At 47.6% G+C, this 20,538-nt stretch overlaps 1 long non-coding RNA gene across 2 annotated transcripts in view, besides 5 other annotated features; it reads right to left on the bottom strand.

Annotated features, from left to right (window-relative positions):
- Positions 415-920: an enhancer, noted in NCBI's record as "H3K4me1 hESC enhancer chr17:5157813-5158318 (GRCh37/hg19 assembly coordinates)". NCBI's record gives its function as "activates a minimal SCP1, AML or CMV promoter by ChIP-STARR-seq in naive H9 embryonic stem cells {active_cell/tissue: H9 hESC(naive)}" and the evidence as "EXISTENCE:reporter gene assay evidence [ECO:0000049][PMID:30033119]".
- Positions 8,610-8,904: a silencer, noted in NCBI's record as "tiled region #14928; K562 Repressive non-DNase unmatched - State 23:Low". NCBI's record gives its function as "represses a minimal TATA promoter and a strong SV40 promoter by Sharpr-MPRA in K562 cells {active_cell/tissue: K562}" and the evidence as "EXISTENCE:reporter gene assay evidence [ECO:0000049][PMID:27701403]".
- Positions 13,428-13,657: an enhancer, noted in NCBI's record as "active region_11569". NCBI's record gives its function as "activates an Ori minimal core promoter by ATAC-STARR-seq in GM12878 lymphoblastoid cells {active_cell/tissue: GM12878}" and the evidence as "EXISTENCE:reporter gene assay evidence [ECO:0000049][PMID:35858748]".
- Positions 17,892-18,191: an enhancer, noted in NCBI's record as "active region_11568". NCBI's record gives its function as "activates an Ori minimal core promoter by ATAC-STARR-seq in GM12878 lymphoblastoid cells {active_cell/tissue: GM12878}" and the evidence as "EXISTENCE:reporter gene assay evidence [ECO:0000049][PMID:35858748]".
- Positions 19,435-20,538, bottom strand: part of ZNF594-DT (ZNF594 divergent transcript) — a 43,997-nt gene continuing 42,893 nt past the window's right edge. Inside the window, exon 8 of one of the 2 annotated variants that reach the window (NR_034082.2) lies at positions 19,435-20,490. This is a non-coding gene — a long non-coding RNA (ZNF594 divergent transcript). The remainder of the gene's footprint in view (positions 20,491-20,538) is intronic. The other variant, NR_152840.1, reaches the window with a different exon arrangement.
- Positions 20,137-20,336: an enhancer, noted in NCBI's record as "active region_11567". NCBI's record gives its function as "activates an Ori minimal core promoter by ATAC-STARR-seq in GM12878 lymphoblastoid cells {active_cell/tissue: GM12878}" and the evidence as "EXISTENCE:reporter gene assay evidence [ECO:0000049][PMID:35858748]".

The raw sequence follows: 20,538 nt of genomic DNA, 5'->3' as shown, positions 1-20,538 counted from the left end.
AGGCTTGGTGAAGGCACAATTCCTAGTCTCTTGCCTTGAGCACACACAGGAAGTCAGCCACCCAGCCACAGTTATATTTAGATTCCTGTCACCTGATGGGGTCATCTGTTAATCAGGGCATAGTGGTAGGTGCAGCATTTTGGGAGTAAACTGAGGTAGGACCAAGGTAGAGAGGAAGTGAGCAGAAAAGTCAGGTACTGACTCCAGGCTCTTTGGCAGGATGAATATTCATGGCTTACATTACACCTAGAGAGATAGAAGGCAGACCAAAGGAGGAACTTGACTTGAGAGAGAAAACAGTTCTTGGCTTGGGCAGGGTAACGGTGGTGCCCCTGAGAGCAGCAGGAAGAGCTGGCCCCTTGGGGCCTCTTGCAGTCCTGAAGGCCAGTTGGGTGCAGGAGCAGGAGCACGGGCCCCTTTGCTGAGTGAGCGGGGCCGAGTGAGTGGTTTTTTTCCATAGGCAGGAATACCCAGCTGCGGTCAGCAGAAAGAGCTGTGGTCACAGGACCCTGTACACAGGGTAGAAACCAGAAAGAAGCAGACATAGCAGGAATTTTTTTTCAAGCTTCCAAGAGCCTTCTCTGCCCTCGATTTGGTTTATCAAATGACTGCTTTGGGAGCTGGGGGACGGGCCCTAAATTGTCATGGATCCAGTTGCTTCTCCCTCCTTTTCTTTTTCTAACCTCGCCTTCATTTCCAAATGACCCCCTTTTATTTCTAGAATCCACCCCCACCACTATAGTAGGTACCTTGCAAGGAGCTCCTGCCCACACTCCTTTCTTTGGCATCCAATCCATTCCAGATCCTGCTGACAGTGTTGGCTTCCCACAACCCACTCCTTTCTGAAATGCTCGGGTGCTGGCCCATCACCGGGGGATCGTCTACACCCCTCCGTCTGGCTTCTGAGTTCTCCATGTTCTGACTGACACTCACCCTTCCCAACCCCAGGCTCACCTTTCTTTCTTTTTTTTTTTTTTGACAGCTTTATTGAGTTATGATTGACATGAAATAAACCGCACCCATGGCCAGGCGAGGTGGCTCGTGCCTGTAATCCCAGCACTTTGGGAGGCTGAGGCGAGTGGATCACAAGGTCAGGAGATCGAGGCCATCCTGGCTAACATGGTGAAACCCCGTCTCTACTGAAAATGCAAAAAATTAGCCGGGCGTGGTGGCATGCGTCTGTAAACCTAGCTACTCAGGAGGCTGAGGCAGGAGAATTGCTTGAACCCAGGGGGCAGAGGTTGCAGTGAGCTGAGATCGCACCATTGCACTCCAGCCTGGGTGACAGAGCGAGACTCCATCTCAAAAAAAAAAAAAAATCAACTGACTATATATGTGCAGGTCTATTGCTTGACTTTCTTTTCTGTTTCACTGATCTATTTATGTATTACCTGCAACAATAACACATTGTTTTTTTTACTGTAGCTTTATGAGAATTCTTGAATCAAGTAGTAAGTCCTCCAACTTATTCTGCTTCAAAGTTATTTTGGCTATTCTAGGTACTTTGCATTTCTAAATAAATTTTAGAATCAGCTCATTCTACCAAATAAAGCCCACCAAGGTTTTGATTGGAACTGTGTTGATTTTGTAGATCAATTTGTGGAGAATTGAAATCTTACCAATATTGAGTCTTACGATCCATGAATATGATAGAACTTTCATTTATTTTGATTTTCTTTATTTCGATTTTCTTTATTTCTTTCTTAATTTTTTTTTGACAGAGTCTTGCTCTGTCACCCAGGCTGGAGTGCAGTGGCATGATCTCAGCTCACTGCAACCTCCGCCTCCCAGGTTCAAGCAATTCTCCTGCCTCAGCCTCCCCAGTAGCTGGGATTTCAGGCACGTGCCACCATACCTAGCTAATTTTTGTATTTTTAGTAGAGACGGATTTCACCATGTTGGTCAGGCTGGTCTCGAACTCTGACCTCAAATGGTCCACCGGACTTGGCCTCCCAAAGTGCTGGAATTACAGGTGTGAACCACAGCATCCGGCCCTTTTAGTACTTTTTAAATGTTGCTTTAGCATCTTCTGCATCACATTAACTCCCAAAAAGAAGATTGCTGTCATTTTTATATTTGTTTTTTTCTCTGGCTGCTTTTATATCTTCTCTTCATTGCTGTTTGTAAGTAGCCCGATTAAGATGCACCTTGGGCTGGGCGTGGTGGCTCACGCCTGTAATCCCAGCACTTTGGGAGGCCGAGGCGGGCGGATCATGAGGTCAGGAGATCGAGACCATCCTGGTTAACACGGTGAAACCCCGTCTCTACTAAAAAAATACAAAAAAATTAGCCGGGCATTGTGGTGGGCACATGTAGTCCCAGCTACTCGGGAGGCTGAGGCAGGAGAATGGCGTGAACCCAGGAGGCGGAGCTTGCAGTGAGCCGAGATCGCGCCACCGCACTCCAGCTTGGGTGACAGAGCGAGGCTCCGTCTCAAAAAAAAAAAAAAAAAAAAAGATGCACTTTGATTAGTGTTCTTCATGATTCTTGTGCTTTGGGTTCATTGAGCTTGCTGGGTGGGTGTATTATCTACGGGTGTATCATTCTCATCAAGTTAGGAAAAATTTTTCCCTTATTTCTTTGAATATATTTTTCTGTACCTCCTCCTTTTGGAAATGGAGTCTCGGTTATTGGAAACTCCAGTTACACGTACATTAGGCTTCTGGAAGTTATCCCCCAACTCACTGTCATTTATTCTCAGCCGTTGTCTTTCTCTGTATTTCACTTCAGATTACTTTCTTTTCCTTTTTCTTTTTTCTTTCTCTCTTTTTTTTTTTTTGAGAAGGAATTTCACTCTTGTTGCCCAGGCTGGAGTGCAGTGGCGTGATCTCGGCTCACCGCAACCTCCACCTCCCAGGTTCAAGTGATTCTCCTGCCTCAGCCTCCTGAGTAACTGGGATTACAGGCATGCACCACCACGCCCGGCTAATTTTGTATTTTTAGTAAAGACTGGGTTTCTCTATGTTGGCCAGGCTGGTCTCGAACTCCTGACCTCAGGTGATCCGCCTTCCTCGGCCTCCCAAAGTGCTGGGATTACAGGTGTGAGCCACCACGGCCCGCCCGGATAATTTCTATTACTGTGTCAAATTCATTAATCTGTGGTCTGCAGTGTGTAATCTGCTGCAAATTCCATTCAGTGTACTTTTCATCTCTAGAAGAGATAGATGATAGATACACTCATATATACATACATAGTCTATCAGTATCTATATATCTTCTATGTCTCTACATAACATGCTCTTGTCCACTAATCTCATCATCTCTGTTATTCCTGGGTCTGTTGCAATTGATTTTTCTCTTCATCATGAAAGTATTTTTCAGATTTATTGAATACTTGGTAATTTTTCACTGAGGGATGTTATTTTAGATAAAATCAAAGCCTCTCTGAGGAGGGCAACATTAGGTTGGAAAATAAGAATAGTTGACCCTTTAACAACACAGGGGTTAGGGGTGCCAACCCCTGGTGCAGTTGACATCCCACATGTTATTGGTAAGGCTTCTGGTCAATAGTAGGCTTAACTGCTAATAGCCTGCTGTTGACCAGAAGCCTTACCAATAACATTAACAATCGATTAACACATTTTGTATGTTATATGTATTATATACTGTATTCTTACAGTAAAGTAAGATAGAGAAAAGAAAATGTTATTAAGAAAATCATAGGCCAGGTGCAGTGGCTCACACCTCTAATCCCAGCACTTTGGGAGGCTGAGGCAGGCAGATTACTTGAGGCCAGGAATTCGAGACCACCTGACCAACATGGCAAAACTCCATCTCTACCAAAAATACAAAAATTAGTCGGACATGGTGGTGGGCTCCTGTAATCCAAGCTATTTGGGAGGCAGAGGCAGGAGAATTGCTTGAACCTGGGAGGCAGAGGTTGCAGTGGGCAGAGATTGCACCACTGTACTCCAGCCTGAGCGACACAGCAAGATTCCGTCTCAAAAAAAAAAAAAAAAAAAAGGCCAGGTGCAATGGCTCATCATACCTGTAATCCTAGCACTTAGCACTTTAGGAGGCCGATGTGGGTGGATCACCTGAGGTCGGGAGTTCGAGACCAGCCTGACCAACATGGAGAAACCCCATCTCTACTAAAAATACAAAATTAGCCGGGTGCGGTGGCGCATGCCTGTAATCCCAGCTACTCAGGAGGCTGAGGCAGGAGAATCACTTGAACCCGGGAGGCAGAGGTTACAGTCAGCTGAGATCACGCCATTGCACTCCAGCCTGAGGCAACAAGAGCGAAACTCTCTCAAAAAAAAAAAAAGAAAGAAAGAAAAAGAAAAAAGAAAATCATAAAGAAGACAAATTATATTTACTATTCATGACATGAATATTTAAGAATATTTGTTTTATTTTTTTACATTTAAATTTTAACTAAAATCTGGAATTAGTTTTGATGTGTGAAATATGATTCCAATTTTACCAACGAATTTTTTTCCCCTTCCGCCAGCACTTGGCAACCATCATTCTACTTTCTCTTTGTATGAATTTGCCAATTTTAGGTACCTCAATATAAGTGGAATCATACAATTTTTTTTTTTTAAAGACAGAATCTCGCTCTGTCACCCAGGTTGGAGTGTAGTGGCACGATCTCAGCTCACTGCAACTTCTGCCTCCCGGGTTCAAGTGATTCTCCTGCCTCAGACTCCTGAGTAGCTGGGATTACAGGCATGCACCACCATGCCCAGCTAATTTTTGTATTTTTAGTAGAGACGGGGTTTCACCATGTTGACCAGGCTGGTCTCAAACTCCTGACCTCAAGTGATCTGCCTGCTTCGGCCTCCCAGAGTGCTGGGATTACAGGCGTGAGCCACCGCGCTCAGGCACAATGTTTATTTTTTATGTCTGGCTTGCTTCACTTTAGTATTGCATCCTCCAGATTCATTCCTGGTGTCGCATGTACCAGAACTTCCTCTCTTATTAAGGCTGAATAATATTCCACTGTATTTTTTTTTTAATTGAGATGGAATCTCACTCTGTCACCCAGGCTGGAGTACAGTGGCGCGATCTCGGCTCACCGCAAGCTCTGCCTCCTGGGTTCAAGCGATTCTCCTGCCTCGGCCTCCCAAGTAGCTGGAATTACAGGCGCCCACCACCAAGCCAGGCTAATTTTTGTATTTTTAGTAGAGACGAGGTTTCACCATGTTGACCAGGCTGGTCTGGAACTCCTGACCTCAGGTGATCCACCTGCCTCGGCTTCCCAAAGTGCTGGGATTACAGGTGTGAGCCACGGCGCCGGGCCTCCATTGTATTTCTATAACCACATTTTGTGTCTCCATTCATTCATTGGTGGATACTTGGGTTGCTTCCACATTTTGGCTATTGTGAATAACACTGCTATGAACATGGATGTACAAATATCTCTTTGAGCTCCTGCTTTCAATTCTTTGGAGTACAGACCCAGAAGTGGAATTGCTGCTGGATCACATGGAATCTTAATTTTTGAGGAACTTCCATACTGTTTTCCATAGCAGTTGTGCCATCTTACATGCCCACCAAGAGTGCACAGGCAGATTCTTTGTCTCTCTCTCTCTCTCTCTCTCTTCTCTTTCTCTTTCTCTCTCTCTCTCTCTCTCTCTGTGTGTGTGTGTGTGTGTGTGTATGTCTAGTAGCCATCCTAATGGGTGTGAGATGCGGGTATAAGGGCTTCTTGTCTGGTTTAACAATTAGCCGATGAAGGGATGATGGCCGCCATCTGGTGGTAGAAGTGAGAATGTTTCCAACCTTTTGGCAATTTATAATATCTACTGAGCATCCCAGGACGAGTCTGGATGAAGGTAGAGGCAGGGTTTGGCAGCACCAGCCAGGCTGTAACTTTTTGAAACTCTCTTCAGTTCAGTGGGTACTGAAGTGTGTACTTTTTTTTTTTTTTTTTTTGAGACGGAGTCTCGCTCTGTCCCCCGGGCTGGAATGCAGTGGTGCGATCTCGGCTCACTGCAAACTCCGCCTCCTGGATTCAAGCGATTCTCCTGCCTCAGCCTCCCGAGTAGTTGGGATTACAGACGCGCGCCTCCACGCCCAGCTAATTTTTGTATTTTTTTTAGTAGAGACAGGGTTTCACCATATTGGCCAGGCTGGTCTTGAACTCCTGACCTCGTGATCCACCCGCCTCGGCCTCCCGAAGTGCTGGGACTACAGGCGTGAGCCACCGCGCCCGATTGAAGTGGGTTCTTCTCCCCACTCAGCTTTGGGAGTGACAGGGCAGAGACCGTGGGCAGAGCTCCCCACACCTTTTTTCGTGAGGGCTCCAGGATGCCCCCACGCAGCTGGAATTCCCTCACAGACTCCCCAGAGTCCTTCTTTAGGGAATCCCTGGGACTCCTTTGAGGTAACCTTGTCTTTTCCGGTTCAGTTCTGGAATGCAAAGGCCTCCCTGGCCTGGAGAATATCAAAGGCTGCTCCCGCTCTACGGGGGCCCTGCCTTGTGGCTTTGAGAGGCTTCTTGCCCACAGAGTCTCTGGGATCCAGCCTTGCTTTCTGCCTCCTCCCTTCCTGGCTGTCCCTGACGCAAGCCCTGAGATCTATCACATCAAAGAGGTTCATTGCCAAATTCAGCAGGAAACCCAGGTTATAGGTAACAATCTAGCAGCGGAAGCTCTAGTATCTCTCAGAAATATGAGGGCTCTTGTTCTTGGTCTACAAACTGCTCCTGAAGCCCCTTTTCTCTCAGAAGTTCTACTGACCTGGCCAGGCAGGGTGGCTCATGGCTATAGTCCCAGCTATTGGGAGGCTATGGTGGGAGGCTCATTTGAGGCCAGGAGTTTGAGGCTGTAGTGAACCATGATCATGCCACTCCACAGCCTGGGCAACAGAGTGAGACCATCACAAAAAAAAAAAAAAAAAAAAAAAAAAAAAAAAAAAAGGGTGTGAGCAGTGCCTCACACCTGTAATCCCAGCACTTTGGGAGGCAGGCAGATCACAAGGTCAGGAGATCGAGACCATCCTGGCCAATATGGTGAAACCCTCCCTGTCTCTACTAAAAATACAAAAATATTAGCCAGGCGTGGTGGCACACACCTGTAGTCCCAGCTACTTGGGAGGCTGAGGCTGGAGAATCGCTTGAACACAGGAGGCGGAGGTTGCAGTGAGCTGAGATCTCACCACTGCACTCTAGCCTGGGCGACAGGGTGAGACTCTGTCTGAAAAAAAAAAAAAAAAGGTCTACTGACCTGATCTTCTTTCGAATTTCTCAGCCTCAGCCATCTCTCATAGAGAGGGAAGTTTGTGTTTCGTCAGAAAGCTGTGCAGTATATAAACTCTAGGGCAGCATCGGGGACTAGTTTTGTGGCACCAGGGACTGATTTCATGGAAGACAATTTTTCCATGGAGCAGCAGAGTATGGTTTCAGGATCATTCAAGCTCATTATATTTATTGTGCCCTTTATTTCTATTATCATTACATTGTAATTATAATGAAATAATTATACAACTCACCGTAACGTAGCATCAGTGGGAGCCCTGAACTTGTTTTTCTTCAACTAGACAGTCCCATCTGGGGGTGATGGGAGACAGTGACAGATCATCAGGCATCAGATTCTCATAAGGAGCGCGGAACCTAGATCCCTGGCATGCGCAGTCCACAATGGTGTTCTCACTCCTATCATAATCCAATGCCCCTGCTGATCTGACAGGAGGCGGATTTCAGGCAGTCATGCAAGAAGCTGTAAATACAAATGAGGCTTCGCTCACTCACCCAATACTCACCTCCTGCTATGCAGCCCAGTTCCTAACAGGCCCCGGACCCCTGTTCTAGAGGATCTATTTCTGGGTTATCTGATCTCAATTCTCTGTAAAGTATGGATGACTGATAGCAATGCAAAAATAATTCTTGTTTATAGAGGGGGATATTCTGTCCAGTCCTATAGAAGTTGCATTGATTTTCTTCCCTACCCCCTTTGTTAAAAAACAGTTTGCTTACATTTGCTCGTCCTGCTACCCAAATGAACTTGGGTCTGCCTGCCTGACCCAGCAAAACTAAAACACTGGCATGAGGATTGCAGCCAGAGAAAGTGGGGCATTTATTGCAGGGTGCCAAGCGAGGAGAATCTGGCAGATCCTGCTTAAGACCTGAACTTTCTGATGGCTTACAGACAAAGGTGTTTATTTTTTATATTTATTTATTTTTGAGGCAGGGTCTTGCTCTGTCACCCAGGCTGGAGTGCAGTGGCGTGATCTCGGCTCACTGCAACCTCCGCCTCCCGGGTTCAAGCGATTCTCCTGCCTCAACCTCCCAAGTAGCTGGGATTATAGGCATGCGCCACCACACCTGGCTAATTTTTGTATTTTTAGTAGAGATGGGGTTTCATCATGTTGGCCAGGCTGGTCTTGAACTCCTGATCTCAGGTGATCCGCCCGCCTCAGCCTCCCAAAGTGCTGGGATTACAGGCGTGAGCCACCATGCCCGGCCAGGCAAGGGTTTTTAAAGGCAGAGAGGCAGAGGTTACAGGCAAAGTTGTAAATCAATACATACAGGCTATACATTGATTTTACCTAAAAAGGAGGGACATCTCAAAGGGAGGGAGACCACAGGTCATAGGTAGGTTCAAAGATTTTCTGATTTGCAATTGGTTCAGGAGGCGAAGCTTTGTCTAAAAATTTGGGGTCAGCAGAAAAGAATGTTAGCTCTGGCTCCTGGGCATGACTTCCTCTAGGCCCCTCAGGAAGAAATTTGGAACAAAGACCAGAAGTCAGAGTTCAGTTCTCAGCTGCCCTTATCTGAAGTCTACGGGCCAGCAGATCCATTTGGTGGGTGTCCGGATTTCTGAAAAACAACTCAGGGACATGGGTAACAAAACGTCTCCTCACTCTAACTTCCTTGGCTATTTTTTGTTAGTGTTTTGTTTTGTTTTGTTTTGTTTTTTTGTTTTTGAGACAGAGTCTCGCCCTGTCATCCAGGCTGGACTGCAATGGTGCAATCTTGGCTCACTTCAACCTCCGCCTCCCAGGTTCAAGCAATTCTCCTGCCTCAGCCTCCCAAGTAGCTGGGATCACAGGCACCCACCACCACACCCAGCTAACTTTTTTTGTATTTTTAGTAGAGACAGGGTTTCCCCGTGTTGGCCAGGCTGGTCTTGAACTCCTGAACTCAGGTGATCCTCCCTCTTTGGCCTTCCAAAATGCTAGGATTACAGGCGTGAGCCACCGCGCCTGGCCTTGGCTATTGTTTTAAGCTACTATTACCTTCCTGCTTATCAAGTTACTCATTTACTTCTCAGGGCTAGCTAGGTGCCTGGAATTTTCTTTGAAGGAACTCAAGATTTTCCTTTATTTCCATGCTTAAAAGGGCTCTCAGGCCCCTAAAACGGGTCCCTGCTCTATCTCAATTTGTTTCAATAACCTTGATTTATAAATGTTATCTGGTCTTTGGATTTTCTTTTAAACCTCTTATAACATTGGCCTTCTTTTTTTTTTTTTTTTTTCGGACAGGATCTCCCTCTGTTGCCCAGGCTGCAGTGGCTTTCTTCCCTCATTGATTAATAAGTGGAATAAAAAATTTTTTTTTGAGACAAAGTCTTGCTCTGTTGCCCAGGCTAGAGCACAGTGGCTCGGTCTCGGCTCACTGCAACCTCTGCCTCCCAGGTTCAAGTGATCCTCCTGCCTCAGCCTCCTGAGCAGCTGGGATTACAGGTGCCCACCACCACGTCTAGCTAATTTTTGTATTTTTAGTAGAGACAAGGTTTCACCATCTTGGCCAGGCTGGCGTTCATTTTTATATCTTCATGAGATTCATAGTTCTATCTTTTATTTAAAATTATCTTTTTGTTGTTGTTGTTTTTGTTTCTGAGACAGAGTTTCGCCCTTGTTGCCAAGGCTAGAATGCAGTGGTGCAATCTCAGCTCACTGCAACCTCCACCTCCCAGGTTCAAGCAATTCTCCTGCCTCAACCTCTCGAGTAGCTGGGATTACAGGTGCCCACCACCACGCCTGGCTCACTTTTGTATTTTTAGTAGAGACAGAGTTTTACCATGTTGTCCAGGCTGGTCTCGAACTCCTGATCTCAGGTGATCCACCCGCCTCGGCCTCCCTAAGTGCTGAGATTACAGGCGTGAGCCACCATGCCTGGCCTACTTTGGCTTTTTTCTTTTTTTTCTTTAGACGGAGTTTTCGCTCTTGTTGCCCAGGGTGGAGTACAATGGCGCGATCTCGGCTCACCGCAACCTCCGCTTCCCAGGTTCAAGCGATTCTCCTGCCTCAGCCTTCCCGAGTAGCTGGGATTACAGGCATGCGCCACCATGCCTGGCTAATTTTGTATTTTTAGTAGAGACGGGGTTTCTCTATGTTGGTCAGGCTGGTCTTGAACTCCCGACCTCAGGTGATCCACCCGCCTCCGCCTCCCAAAATGCTGGGATTACAGGCATGAGCCACCGCGCCTGGCCTACTTTAGCCTTTTTCAAGAAAGAATTGCTACCAGGGGCAGGAGAGAGTGGACAATGGTTACAGTGTTTCACTTTAGGAAGATGAAAAAGTTCTGGGCTGGGTGCAGTGGCTCACACCTGTAATCCCAGGACTTTGGGAGGCCAAGGCAGGTGGATCAGGAGGTCAGGAGTTGGAGACCAGCCTGGCCAACATAGTGAAACCCCATCTCTACTAAAAATACAAATGGCTGGGCATGGTGGTGGGGACCCAGCTACTCGGAAGGCCGAGGCAGGAGAATCGCTTGAACCCGGGAGGCAGAGGTTGCGGTGAGCCGAGATCGCACCATTGCACTCCGGCCTGGGCAACAAGAGCGAAACTCCGTCTCAAAAAAAAAATTAAAAAAAAAAAAGATTAAAATAAGCCTTATGGTACATACATTTTACCATGATTTTTTTTAAAGAAAACGATTTGCTAATTTTGTCATGAGCGGTACAAGGTTACAGATAACCAGGTCCACGTGTGTTTGCGTCTTTCCACAGTGTCACGCTTTTATTCATGCTACTTAAATCACAAAAGCCACAGGCTACGTGGAGTTCCCAAGGAGGCAATTCTCCTTAGTACTTCCCATCACTCAGTAGTCAGCTGCGGGCACACAGGCTCCAGCCAGTCCACAATAATTAAGTCAATACTGCAAACCGTACAGAATAACATACTTAATTGATATATAAGTGTTATGTAGTAAACATCCCACAACAAACAAAGTAACATTTAACATCAAGAGGAAAAAGAGGAGAAAGGGTTAAGGAACCAGTCCAGGGGGAGCAGGAAGACCAAAGGAGTCCTGGTCTGGTGGTCTGGTAGTCTCTGGGCCCCGTTAGATCTTGCAAGGAGGAGTCTTTAATGTGGCCGAGCTTTTGGGGGTCAAATGCTGAGTTGTTTTGGTTTGTTTTTTGAGACGGAGTTTCACTCTTGTTGCCCAGGCTGGAGTGCAATGGCGTGATCTTGGCTCACCGCAACCTCCGCCTCCCAAGTTCAAGTGATTCTTCTGCCTCAGCCTCCCAAGTAGCTGGGATTGCAGGCACACACCACCACACCCAGCTAATTTTTGTATTTTTAGTAGAGACGGGGTTTCACCGTGTTGGCCAGGCTGGTTTCAAACTCCCAGACTCAGGTGATCCACCCGCCTCGGCCTCCCAAAATGCTGGGATTACAGGCATGAGCCACCTCGCCCAGCCAAATGCTGAGTTCTTATCATGAGTGATGATGATGAGTTATGGCTATTTCAAGCTGCTAGAGGCCTGCTTTTTTTTCTTTTTCTTTTTCTTTTTCTTTGAGATGGAGTCTTGCTCTGTCACCTAGGCTGGAGTGCAGTGGCATGATCTTGGCTCACTGCAACCTCCGCTTCCCGGGTTCAAGCAATTCTCCTGCCTCAGCCTCCCAAGTAGCTGGAACTACAGGCGAACGCCACCATGCCCGGCTAATTTTTGTATTTTTAGTAGAGATGGGGTTTCACTATGTTGGTCAGGCTGGTCTCCAACTCCTGACCTTGTGATCCACCTGCCTCGGCCTCCCAGAGTGCTAGGATTACAGGCATGAGCCATTGCACCCAGCCAGCCAAGGCCTGATGTTTTATAGTTACAGAGTCCTCTGATGAGAACTGATGGTGGAAGAGTGTGCTTGTTTGTATCTTTATCTGGTTGGATGCAGTCTTTTTTTTTTAAATTTGTTTCTTAAGCAAAACATCTTATCCTAATTGGCAAAGTGCTGTATGAAATATAAAATGGAGTATTTTTCTAAGATGGAGTTAGTTACGTCAAGGGTGTTCTATACAAGTTTGAATACTTTTCTGGTGGGTTCCCATGGGGAAAGCCAAAATTAGTCAAGATTTCACAGGTTCTCAGAGCCTGAACCTTTTTTAGTGTGTGTGATTTTTAAAAATAGACCTTCTTCCTCCTACCCCACCCCCTCAGTTCTCAACCGAACAACAAACAATGACTGTGACCTCACCATTGATAAGGTTTCAAGGACCAGAATAGAGGAGATGGAAGGAGACTTGCTATTGTTGTGTAAGGATTGTTTTGGTAGCAAATGGTGGCAGCCTTCCTGGAACTGACTTAGACATAAACAAAAAAGTACTGAGACCGGGCATGGTGGCTCACACCTGTAATCCCAGCACTTTGAGAGGCCGAGGCAAGCGGATCACCTGAGGTCAGGAGTTCGAGACCAGCCTGGCCAACATGGTGATATCCTGTCTCTACTAAAAACTACAAAAATTAGCCAGGCATGGTGGCTCACACCTGTAGTCCCAGATACTTGGGAGGCTGAGGCAGGAGAATCGCTTGAACCCGGGATGGGGAGGTTGCAGTGAGCCAAGATTGCACCACTGCACTCCAGCCTGGGCAACAGAGTGAGCCTCTGTCTCAAAAAAAAAAAAAAAAAAAAAAAAGTACTGGGAGGATCCTGCAGGTGTTGAAGGGTGTATTCACTTCCTGTTTCTGCTGTAGCAAAATATCACACGTTTGATATTCTCTTACAGATCTGGAGGTGCTAAAGTTCAGCAGTCTGAAATGTATTGGCAGGCAGGTTCTTTCTGCAGGCTCTGGGGAAGAACCTATTTCCCTGCCTTCTTCACCTCCTAGAGGCCACCTGCATTCCCATGTGGCAGTGGGGAATGAAAACAGGAAAGTGGCAGCTCTGACCGAAAGCAATGTGATTGATAAAGAGGGTGGGCAGTGGGGGGACATTTCCTCAAAAGAAAGGATTGCTATTCACCGAAGAGGGAGTGAAGTCCTGGGAAGGCAAGATAACAGGTGTGCACTCAGCTGTGATAGAGAGGCCGACCAGGCACGCTGTTTGCAGCAAAATGGGCGTTATGCTTTGCCCCTGGAGGCGTGGAAGTGGGGCAAGAGGGTAGAGAAAAAGTTGTTCCAGCCACTACGGATGTGTAACAAGTTACTGCAAATCTTGTTGACTTAAAATAGCCACTTGGTTTGCTCATGATTTTGTGGGCCAGGAATTTAGACAGGACTGAGCCTGGCAGGTCTCACTCAGTGTTTCCCTAGCAGCTGCTCAGATGTCATCTGAAGGCCCCACAGGGCTGGACGTCCAAGATGGCTCACTCACATGGCTGGCATGGGTTGTGTCCAGGTAGCTCAGCTGGGGCTGCCAACCCAGGGCTCTGCATGGCTTCTCCAGCATGGCGGGGTCTCAGAGTAGCTGGACTTCTTATGTGGTAGCTGGCTTCCCCCTCCCACTGAGTGGGAATCTTAAGAGGACGAACTGGAAACTTCATAATTTTTTTTTTCTTTGAGATGGAGTCTCACTCTGTTGCCCAGGCTGGAGTGCAGTGGCCTGATCTCGGCTCACTGAAACCTCCACCCCTGGGTTCAAGCGATTCCCCTGCCTCAGCCTCCCGAGTAGCTGGGATTACAGGTGCCCGCCACAGCGCCCGGCTAATTTTTGTATTTTTAGTAGAGACAGTGTTTCACCATCTTGGCTGTTACACGCCTCCGTATAAGAGACCACCTGAGCAGGCTTAGTGGAGCAACAAGGCTGTTTATTCACTTGGGTGCAAGTGGGCTGAGTCAGAGAAAGGAGTCAGCGAAGGGTGGTGGGAGTGGAACTGGTTCTATAGGTTTGGGGTAGGTAGTGGAAAGTTACAGTTAGGGGCAGTTTTTTTGGGCAGGGGAAGAATGTTACAAGGTGCATAGTCACAAGGTGGGGGAAGTCATAAGGCACGATATCACAAGGTGGATGGATTAGTTGGGGAAGGGCAGGAACATATCACAAGGTGGATGGATTAATTAGGGTAGGGAAGGAACATATCACAAGGTGGATGGATTAGTTAGGGTAGGGCAGGAACATGTCACAGTGGTGGATGGATTAGTTGGGGAAGGGCAGGAACATATCACAAGGTGGATGGATTAGTTAGGGTAGGGAAGGAACATATCACAAGGTGGATGGATTAGTTAGGGTAGGGCAGGAACATGTCACAGTGGTGGATGGATTAGTTAGGGTAGGGCAGGAACATGTCACAAGGTGGATGGATTAGTTAGGGTAGGGCAGGAACATGTCACAAGGTGGATGGATTAGTTGGGGAAGGGCAGGAACAATCACAAGGTGGATGGATTAGTTGGGGAAGGGCAGGAACATATCACAAGGTGGATGGATTAGTTGGGGAAGGGCAGGAACATGTCACAATGGTGGATGGATTAGTTGGGGAAGGGCAGGAACATGTCACAATGGTGGATGGATTAGTTGGGGAAGGGCAGGAACATATCACAAGGTGGATGGATTAGTTAGGGTAGGGCAGGAACATGTCACAGTGGTGGATGGATTAGTTGAGGAAGGGCAGGAACATGCCACAAGGTGGATGGATTAGTTGGGGAAGGGCAGGAACATATCACAAGGTGGATGGATTAGTTAGGGTAGGGCAGGAACATGTCACAGTGGTGGATGGATTAGTTGAGGAAGGGCAGGAACATGCCACAAGGTGGATGGATTAGTTGGGGAAGGGCAGGAACATATCACAAGGTGGATGGATTAGTTAGGGTAGGGAAGGAACATATCACAAGGTGGATGGATTAGTTGGGGAAGGGCAGGAACATATCACAGTGGTGGATGGATTAGTTGGGGAAGGGCAGGAACATATCACAAGGTGGATGGATTAGTTGGGGAAGGGCAGGAACATATCACAGTGGTGGATGGATTAGTTGGGGGAAGGGCAGGAACATATCACAAGGTGGATGGATTAGTTAGGGTAGGGCAGGAACATATCACAGTGGTGGATGGATTAGTTGGGGAAGGGCAGGAACAATCACAAGGTGGATGGATTAGTTGGGGAAGGGCAGGAACATATCACAAGGTGGATGGATTAGTTGGGGAAGGGCAGGAACATGTCACAATGGTGGATGGATTAGTTGGGGAAGGGCAGGAACATGTCACAATGGTGGATGGATTAGTTGGGGAAGGGCAGGAACATATCACAAGGTGGATGGATTAGTTGGGGAAGGGCAGGAACATATCACAAGGTGGATGGATTAGTTGGGGAAGGGCAGGAACATATCACAAGGTGGACTGTTGCAAGGTCGGTTAATCATTAAGGCAGGAACTAGCTGTTCCGTCTTCTTTAGTGGTTCTCCTGTTGCTCCAGGCTTTGTGACTCCAGGAGGCCTGTAACGTGTGGGTCACAGGGGTCACAATGGCTCGACCATGGGGTAGCCCATTCAGGGGACCTTCCACTGGCCAGGTTGGTCTTGAACTCGTGACCTCATGATCCACCCGCCTCGGCCTCCCAAAGTGCTGGAATTACAGGCGTGAGCCACCGCGTCCCGCCCAAAGCTGCATAATTTTTTATCCTCAAAAGTTAAGCAGCTTTCCTTCCCCTACAGTCAGTGTTATAAGTGAGTCACTAACGTCAGCCCACTTTTGAGTAGAGGGGACATAGATTCCCACAGCTCAATGGGAGGAGTGTCAAAAAAATGTATGAGCATATTTTAAAACCATTGCAAAGTATGTCATGGGGAGAGTGTCCAGAGGAGAGATGACTGAGTTGGGTTAAATTGCCAGGCCAGGCACAGTGGCTCATGTCTGTAATCCCAGCATTTCGGGAGGCCGAGGCGGTAAAATCTCTTGAGGCCAGGAGTTTGAGACCAGCTTGGGAAACATAGCGAGACCCCCATCTCTACAAAAAATTTAAAAATTAGCCAGGTGTGGTGGTGCATGCCTATGGTCCCAGCTACTTGGGAGGCTTAGGTGAGAGGATCGCTTGAGCCCAGGAGTTCGAGGCTGCGTTGGGCCACGACTGCACCACTGCACTCCAGCCTGAGTGACAGGGTGAGACCGTCTCAAAAATAAATGAATAAATAAATAAATTGCCAGGCCACAGAAAATGCTTAAGTATTACAACTGGTAAATCATAAGAGTTATGGTTGATGTGGCTCCCAGTCAGTTGAGTGGTAATGGGGCTGGTGGACTCATGTTTGGGAACGAAGAAGAGAGAAGGTTCAAGAGTGAGAACTGAAATCACTGCTGTCTCTCCATCCCTGTCCCAGGGGAAAATCCATTGCCCAGCCATTACCAGCTCCTTGAGACTGCCTGCATTTCTTGGCTCGAGACCCCTTCTTCGGATCTCCCCAGTCTCTTGCCTCTGCCAGCACATCCCCTGCCACTGACCCTGACTCTCCTGTATCCCTCTCAGAAGGATCTTGTGATTACATGGGGTCCATGTCGATAATCCTGCATGACTTCCCCACTTCAAAATCCTTAGTCATATCTGCAAAATCCCTTTCACCATCTAAAATAACATACTCATGGGTTCTGGGGTTTAGGGGCCCAATGCTCCTAGTACCTTTCATGGGAATCTTTACCTCCAGAAATGGGGAGAAGTGGGCAGGGACTCCCTTCATACACAAGACACGGCTGCCTCCTGCCACAACCCCAAATACTTATACACTTGCCTTTTTACATCTGAGCTGGAACGACCCCACCTCAATGTCATGGGGCCAGGGTGGGAGACAGAGGAGCTACAACATCTGCTTGGCTATTGTTAGGGACAAACAAAGCAGCCACGGTTGCTTAGTGATGACTTCTGGTTCCACCTGAGTGCTTTGGCCACCCATATTGCTCTCAGAGCTCTTTAAAGATGAGTTATTGTGCCCGGAGTGGTGGCTGATGCCTGTAATCCCAGGACTTTGGGAGGCTGAAGTGGACAGATCACCTGATGTTAGGAGTTCAAGACCAGCCACCTAACCAACATGGAGAAACCCCATCTCTACTAAAAGTACGAAATTAGCAGGGCATGGTGGCGCATGCCTGTAATCCCAGCTACTCTGGAGGCTGAGGCAGGAGAATTGCTTGAACCCAGGAGGTGGAGGTTGCAGTGAGCCAAGATCGCGCCATTGCACTCCAGTCTGGGCAATAAGGGCGAAACTCTGTCTCAAAAACAAAAACAAAAACAAACAAAAACCCCCACCTTTTTAAAAACTGCAATAAAATCTATTAATGTTCTAATTATATGTTGTATCTTATGATTTCTCTTTCTTCAGTTTTTTTCTCATGATGGGGATTAATTGACACTTGTGAGTGGCACAAAGAATAACACCTCATTTTACACATGACTTAGATGACTGAGTGAGAAGAAACAAAACGGCAGAAGCTGGGTGCCACCCGGATGTTGACAAAAAGGTTGAGTCATGAGATGAAGGGTGGACTGGAATCCCTTCTGAGTGTCCTCTAGCCTGATGGTCTCTGTAGCTTTAAGAGGTGAACATCTTGTGTGTCCAGCCATCCCTACGGGGAGGTCAGAGGGACCAGAATCCTGAGGAGAAAGCACCACAGGTGACCACTAGAGGGTGCCCTTCATTCTCCTTGACACCCTCTGGTCCAGCCGCTAATCTAGGGCCCTCAGGGACCTCTTTAGTTGCCCAGACCAGCAGGTGGCATTTCAGATGTGCAGAAAGAACACAACCGCCCCAACTTCCTGCCCTCCTCTTGTGGTGGAAAGACAAATGGTGGAGTCGGGGAAGAATGTAGATAGCAAGGAAGTGGGTAGATCCAGATGCCGTGGTGTGTGTCCCTAAACTTTGCTCTCAAGCCTCTGACTGCCCAACACATTCACTCTTGATCAGCCATGCAACCATCTCTTTCTCTCCAAATACTATGGCTGCTTTGTGTCTGTCCACATTCTGTCCATTTGGTGAGCTCCTACACATCCTTCAAGGCCCAGTTCAAATGCTACCACTCAGACCCTTTCTTCTCTCCCACTTTTGTGCTTCCACAGCACTAGCATTCATCACTTTGCATAGTAATAACTTATGTGCCTTCTGTCCTGTAGAACATGTGCCATGTGCTCTACCCATGAATGACTTGCCCAGTTCTGAGTCTCTACTTGTTGAGCACAGGGTCTGGCACAAATTGAAGGTCATTGTATTTAGCCTGCATCATATTATGGCTTCAACTTCCTCCTACACTTTGCGGGACTTTCTTGAAGGCAGATGGCAAAATCCCTGGAGCACTTTCATATTTGTCAATTGAATTCTTTCATTTTACAACAAGGAAACTGAGGCTCAGAGAAGGGAAGGATTCACAAAGAAAGTTTTGTCAAACCGGGCCTGGAATTCTGATCACCTGACACCTCAGGCTTGAACTTGCTGTGCAAAAGGCATTGTTAGAAATAGTAGGGCTACAGAGTTTACTATATCACAGCTGAACTGAGGTCCTTAAAGGTTAGCAAAATAATTTATTGAGTAATTTATTGAATGAATGAATGAAACACAAACCAAGAAGTCACAGCTTTGTTAGCCTAGGATGAGCTCTATCCACAGAAGCATTTATTCACCCCTCAGAAGAGAATTTTTTTTTTTTTTTTTTTTGAGACGGAGTGTTGCTCTGTCACCCCGGCTGGAGTGCAGTGGCTCGATCTCGGCTCACTGCAACCTCCGCCTCCCAGGTTCAAGCGATTCTTCTGCCTCAGCCTCCCAAGTAGCTGGGACTACAGGCACCTGCCACCATGCCTGGCTAATTTTTGTATTTTTAGTAGAGACGGGATTTCACCATGTTGGCCAGGCTGGTCTCAAACGCCTGACCTCATGATCCGCCTGCCTTGGCCTCCCAAAGTGCTGGGATTTCAGGCGTGAGCCACTGTGCCCGGCCTAGAAGAAAATTTTAAATTGGCTTTTAGGAAGGTTTTTTAGCAGCTAAACTTTGGATGAGCCTAAGAAGAAAGAGTTCAGGCCTTGGCCAGGTGCAGTGGCTCAACTCTGTAATCCCAGCACTTTGGGAGGCCGAGGCAGGTGGATCACTTGAGGTCAGGAGTTCGAGACCAGCCTGGCCAACATGGTGAAACCCTGTCTCTACTAAAAATACAAAGATTAGCCGGATGCGGTGGCACACACCTGTAGTCCCAGCTACTTGGGAGGCTGAGGCAGGAGAATTGCTTGAACCTGGGAGTCGGAGGTTGCAGTGTGCTGAGATTGAGCCACTGCACTCCAGCCTGGCGACAGAGTGAGACTGCATCTCAAAAAAAAAAAAAAAAAAGAAAGAAAGAAAGAAAAAGAAAAAAGAAATTAGTAAACACTGCAAATCAGGAATCTTCTGAGCCAGATGTTTTGTTTTGTTTGTTTGAGATAGAGTCTTGCTCTGTTGCCCAGGCTGGAGCGCAATGGTGTGATCTTGGCTCACTGCAACCTCCACCTCGCGGGTCCAAGCAATTCTCCCGCCTCAGCCTCCTGAGTAGCTGGGACTACCGGTTCACACCAAAATGCCCAGCTAATTTTTGTATTTTTAGTAGAGATGGGGTTTCACCATGTTGGCCAGGCTGGTCTCGAACTACTGACTTCAGGTGATCCACCCGCCTTGGCCTCCCAAAGTGCTGGGATTACAGGTGTGAGCCACCGCACCCAGCCAGAGCCCGGTGTTTGTTAAATTTACCAGACATATATCAGACATTATCAGATATTTATCAGACATATCTGGTTATCATTATTACTGAAATGGATAACAACTCATTCGCTCTGGGCAAATACAATGCACATCCGTTTGCCTATTTTTACTAATGTGACTGCTCATTTGAGTCAGAACCAGCCAATTCAACAAAATGGCTAATTGGTTTCCCCACTCCAACCCCCATGGTCAGAGGCCGTGGGCCTCGCTGGGAGTTCTGTCTCACAGTATTGCACGAGGGGACCCAACTCAGTCAAAATGCTCCACTGGCCACATTTCTCAAGGTCGCCACTCACACGCCTTTAGAAACAGGAAGCCTGTCCCTTGCCTCCTCCAAGCAGAAGATGTCTCAGCAGTTCCAAGGTGCACAGGAGCTTTCAAGAGTCACCTTCATGGTGAGATGGTGAGTTTGTCACACATGAGCTGGTTTCTTACCTGGATCTGTCTCTGCATGGGAGCTGGCGTCCTGTCGCTCTTCTTGAGACTGAGGTTGCCACATCCAGGAATGCTCACGGCAAACTCGTCTGTGGGGACACCAAACCCACCCCCACTGCCAAGTCTCCACCCTGGCCCCTGGCCCCTGCCAGGACCCCCTACCACACCATGAGGGTCCTCTGGTAGGCCTTGCGGGAGCGACACGGGGCAGTGAGAAGATTCTGGCTTCTGGACAGCCGTGGGTCATGAGCTTCCCTGGAAAAGGGATGGTTGCCTAGAGATGACGCCAGGGTCTCTGCCCCG

This window comes from Homo sapiens, chromosome 17 (genome assembly GCF_000001405.40).
Source record: "Homo sapiens chromosome 17, GRCh38.p14 Primary Assembly".
NCBI classification, from domain to species: Eukaryota; Metazoa; Chordata; class Mammalia; order Primates; family Hominidae; genus Homo; species Homo sapiens.
This window is presented reverse-complemented; position numbering and strand designations above follow the sequence as displayed.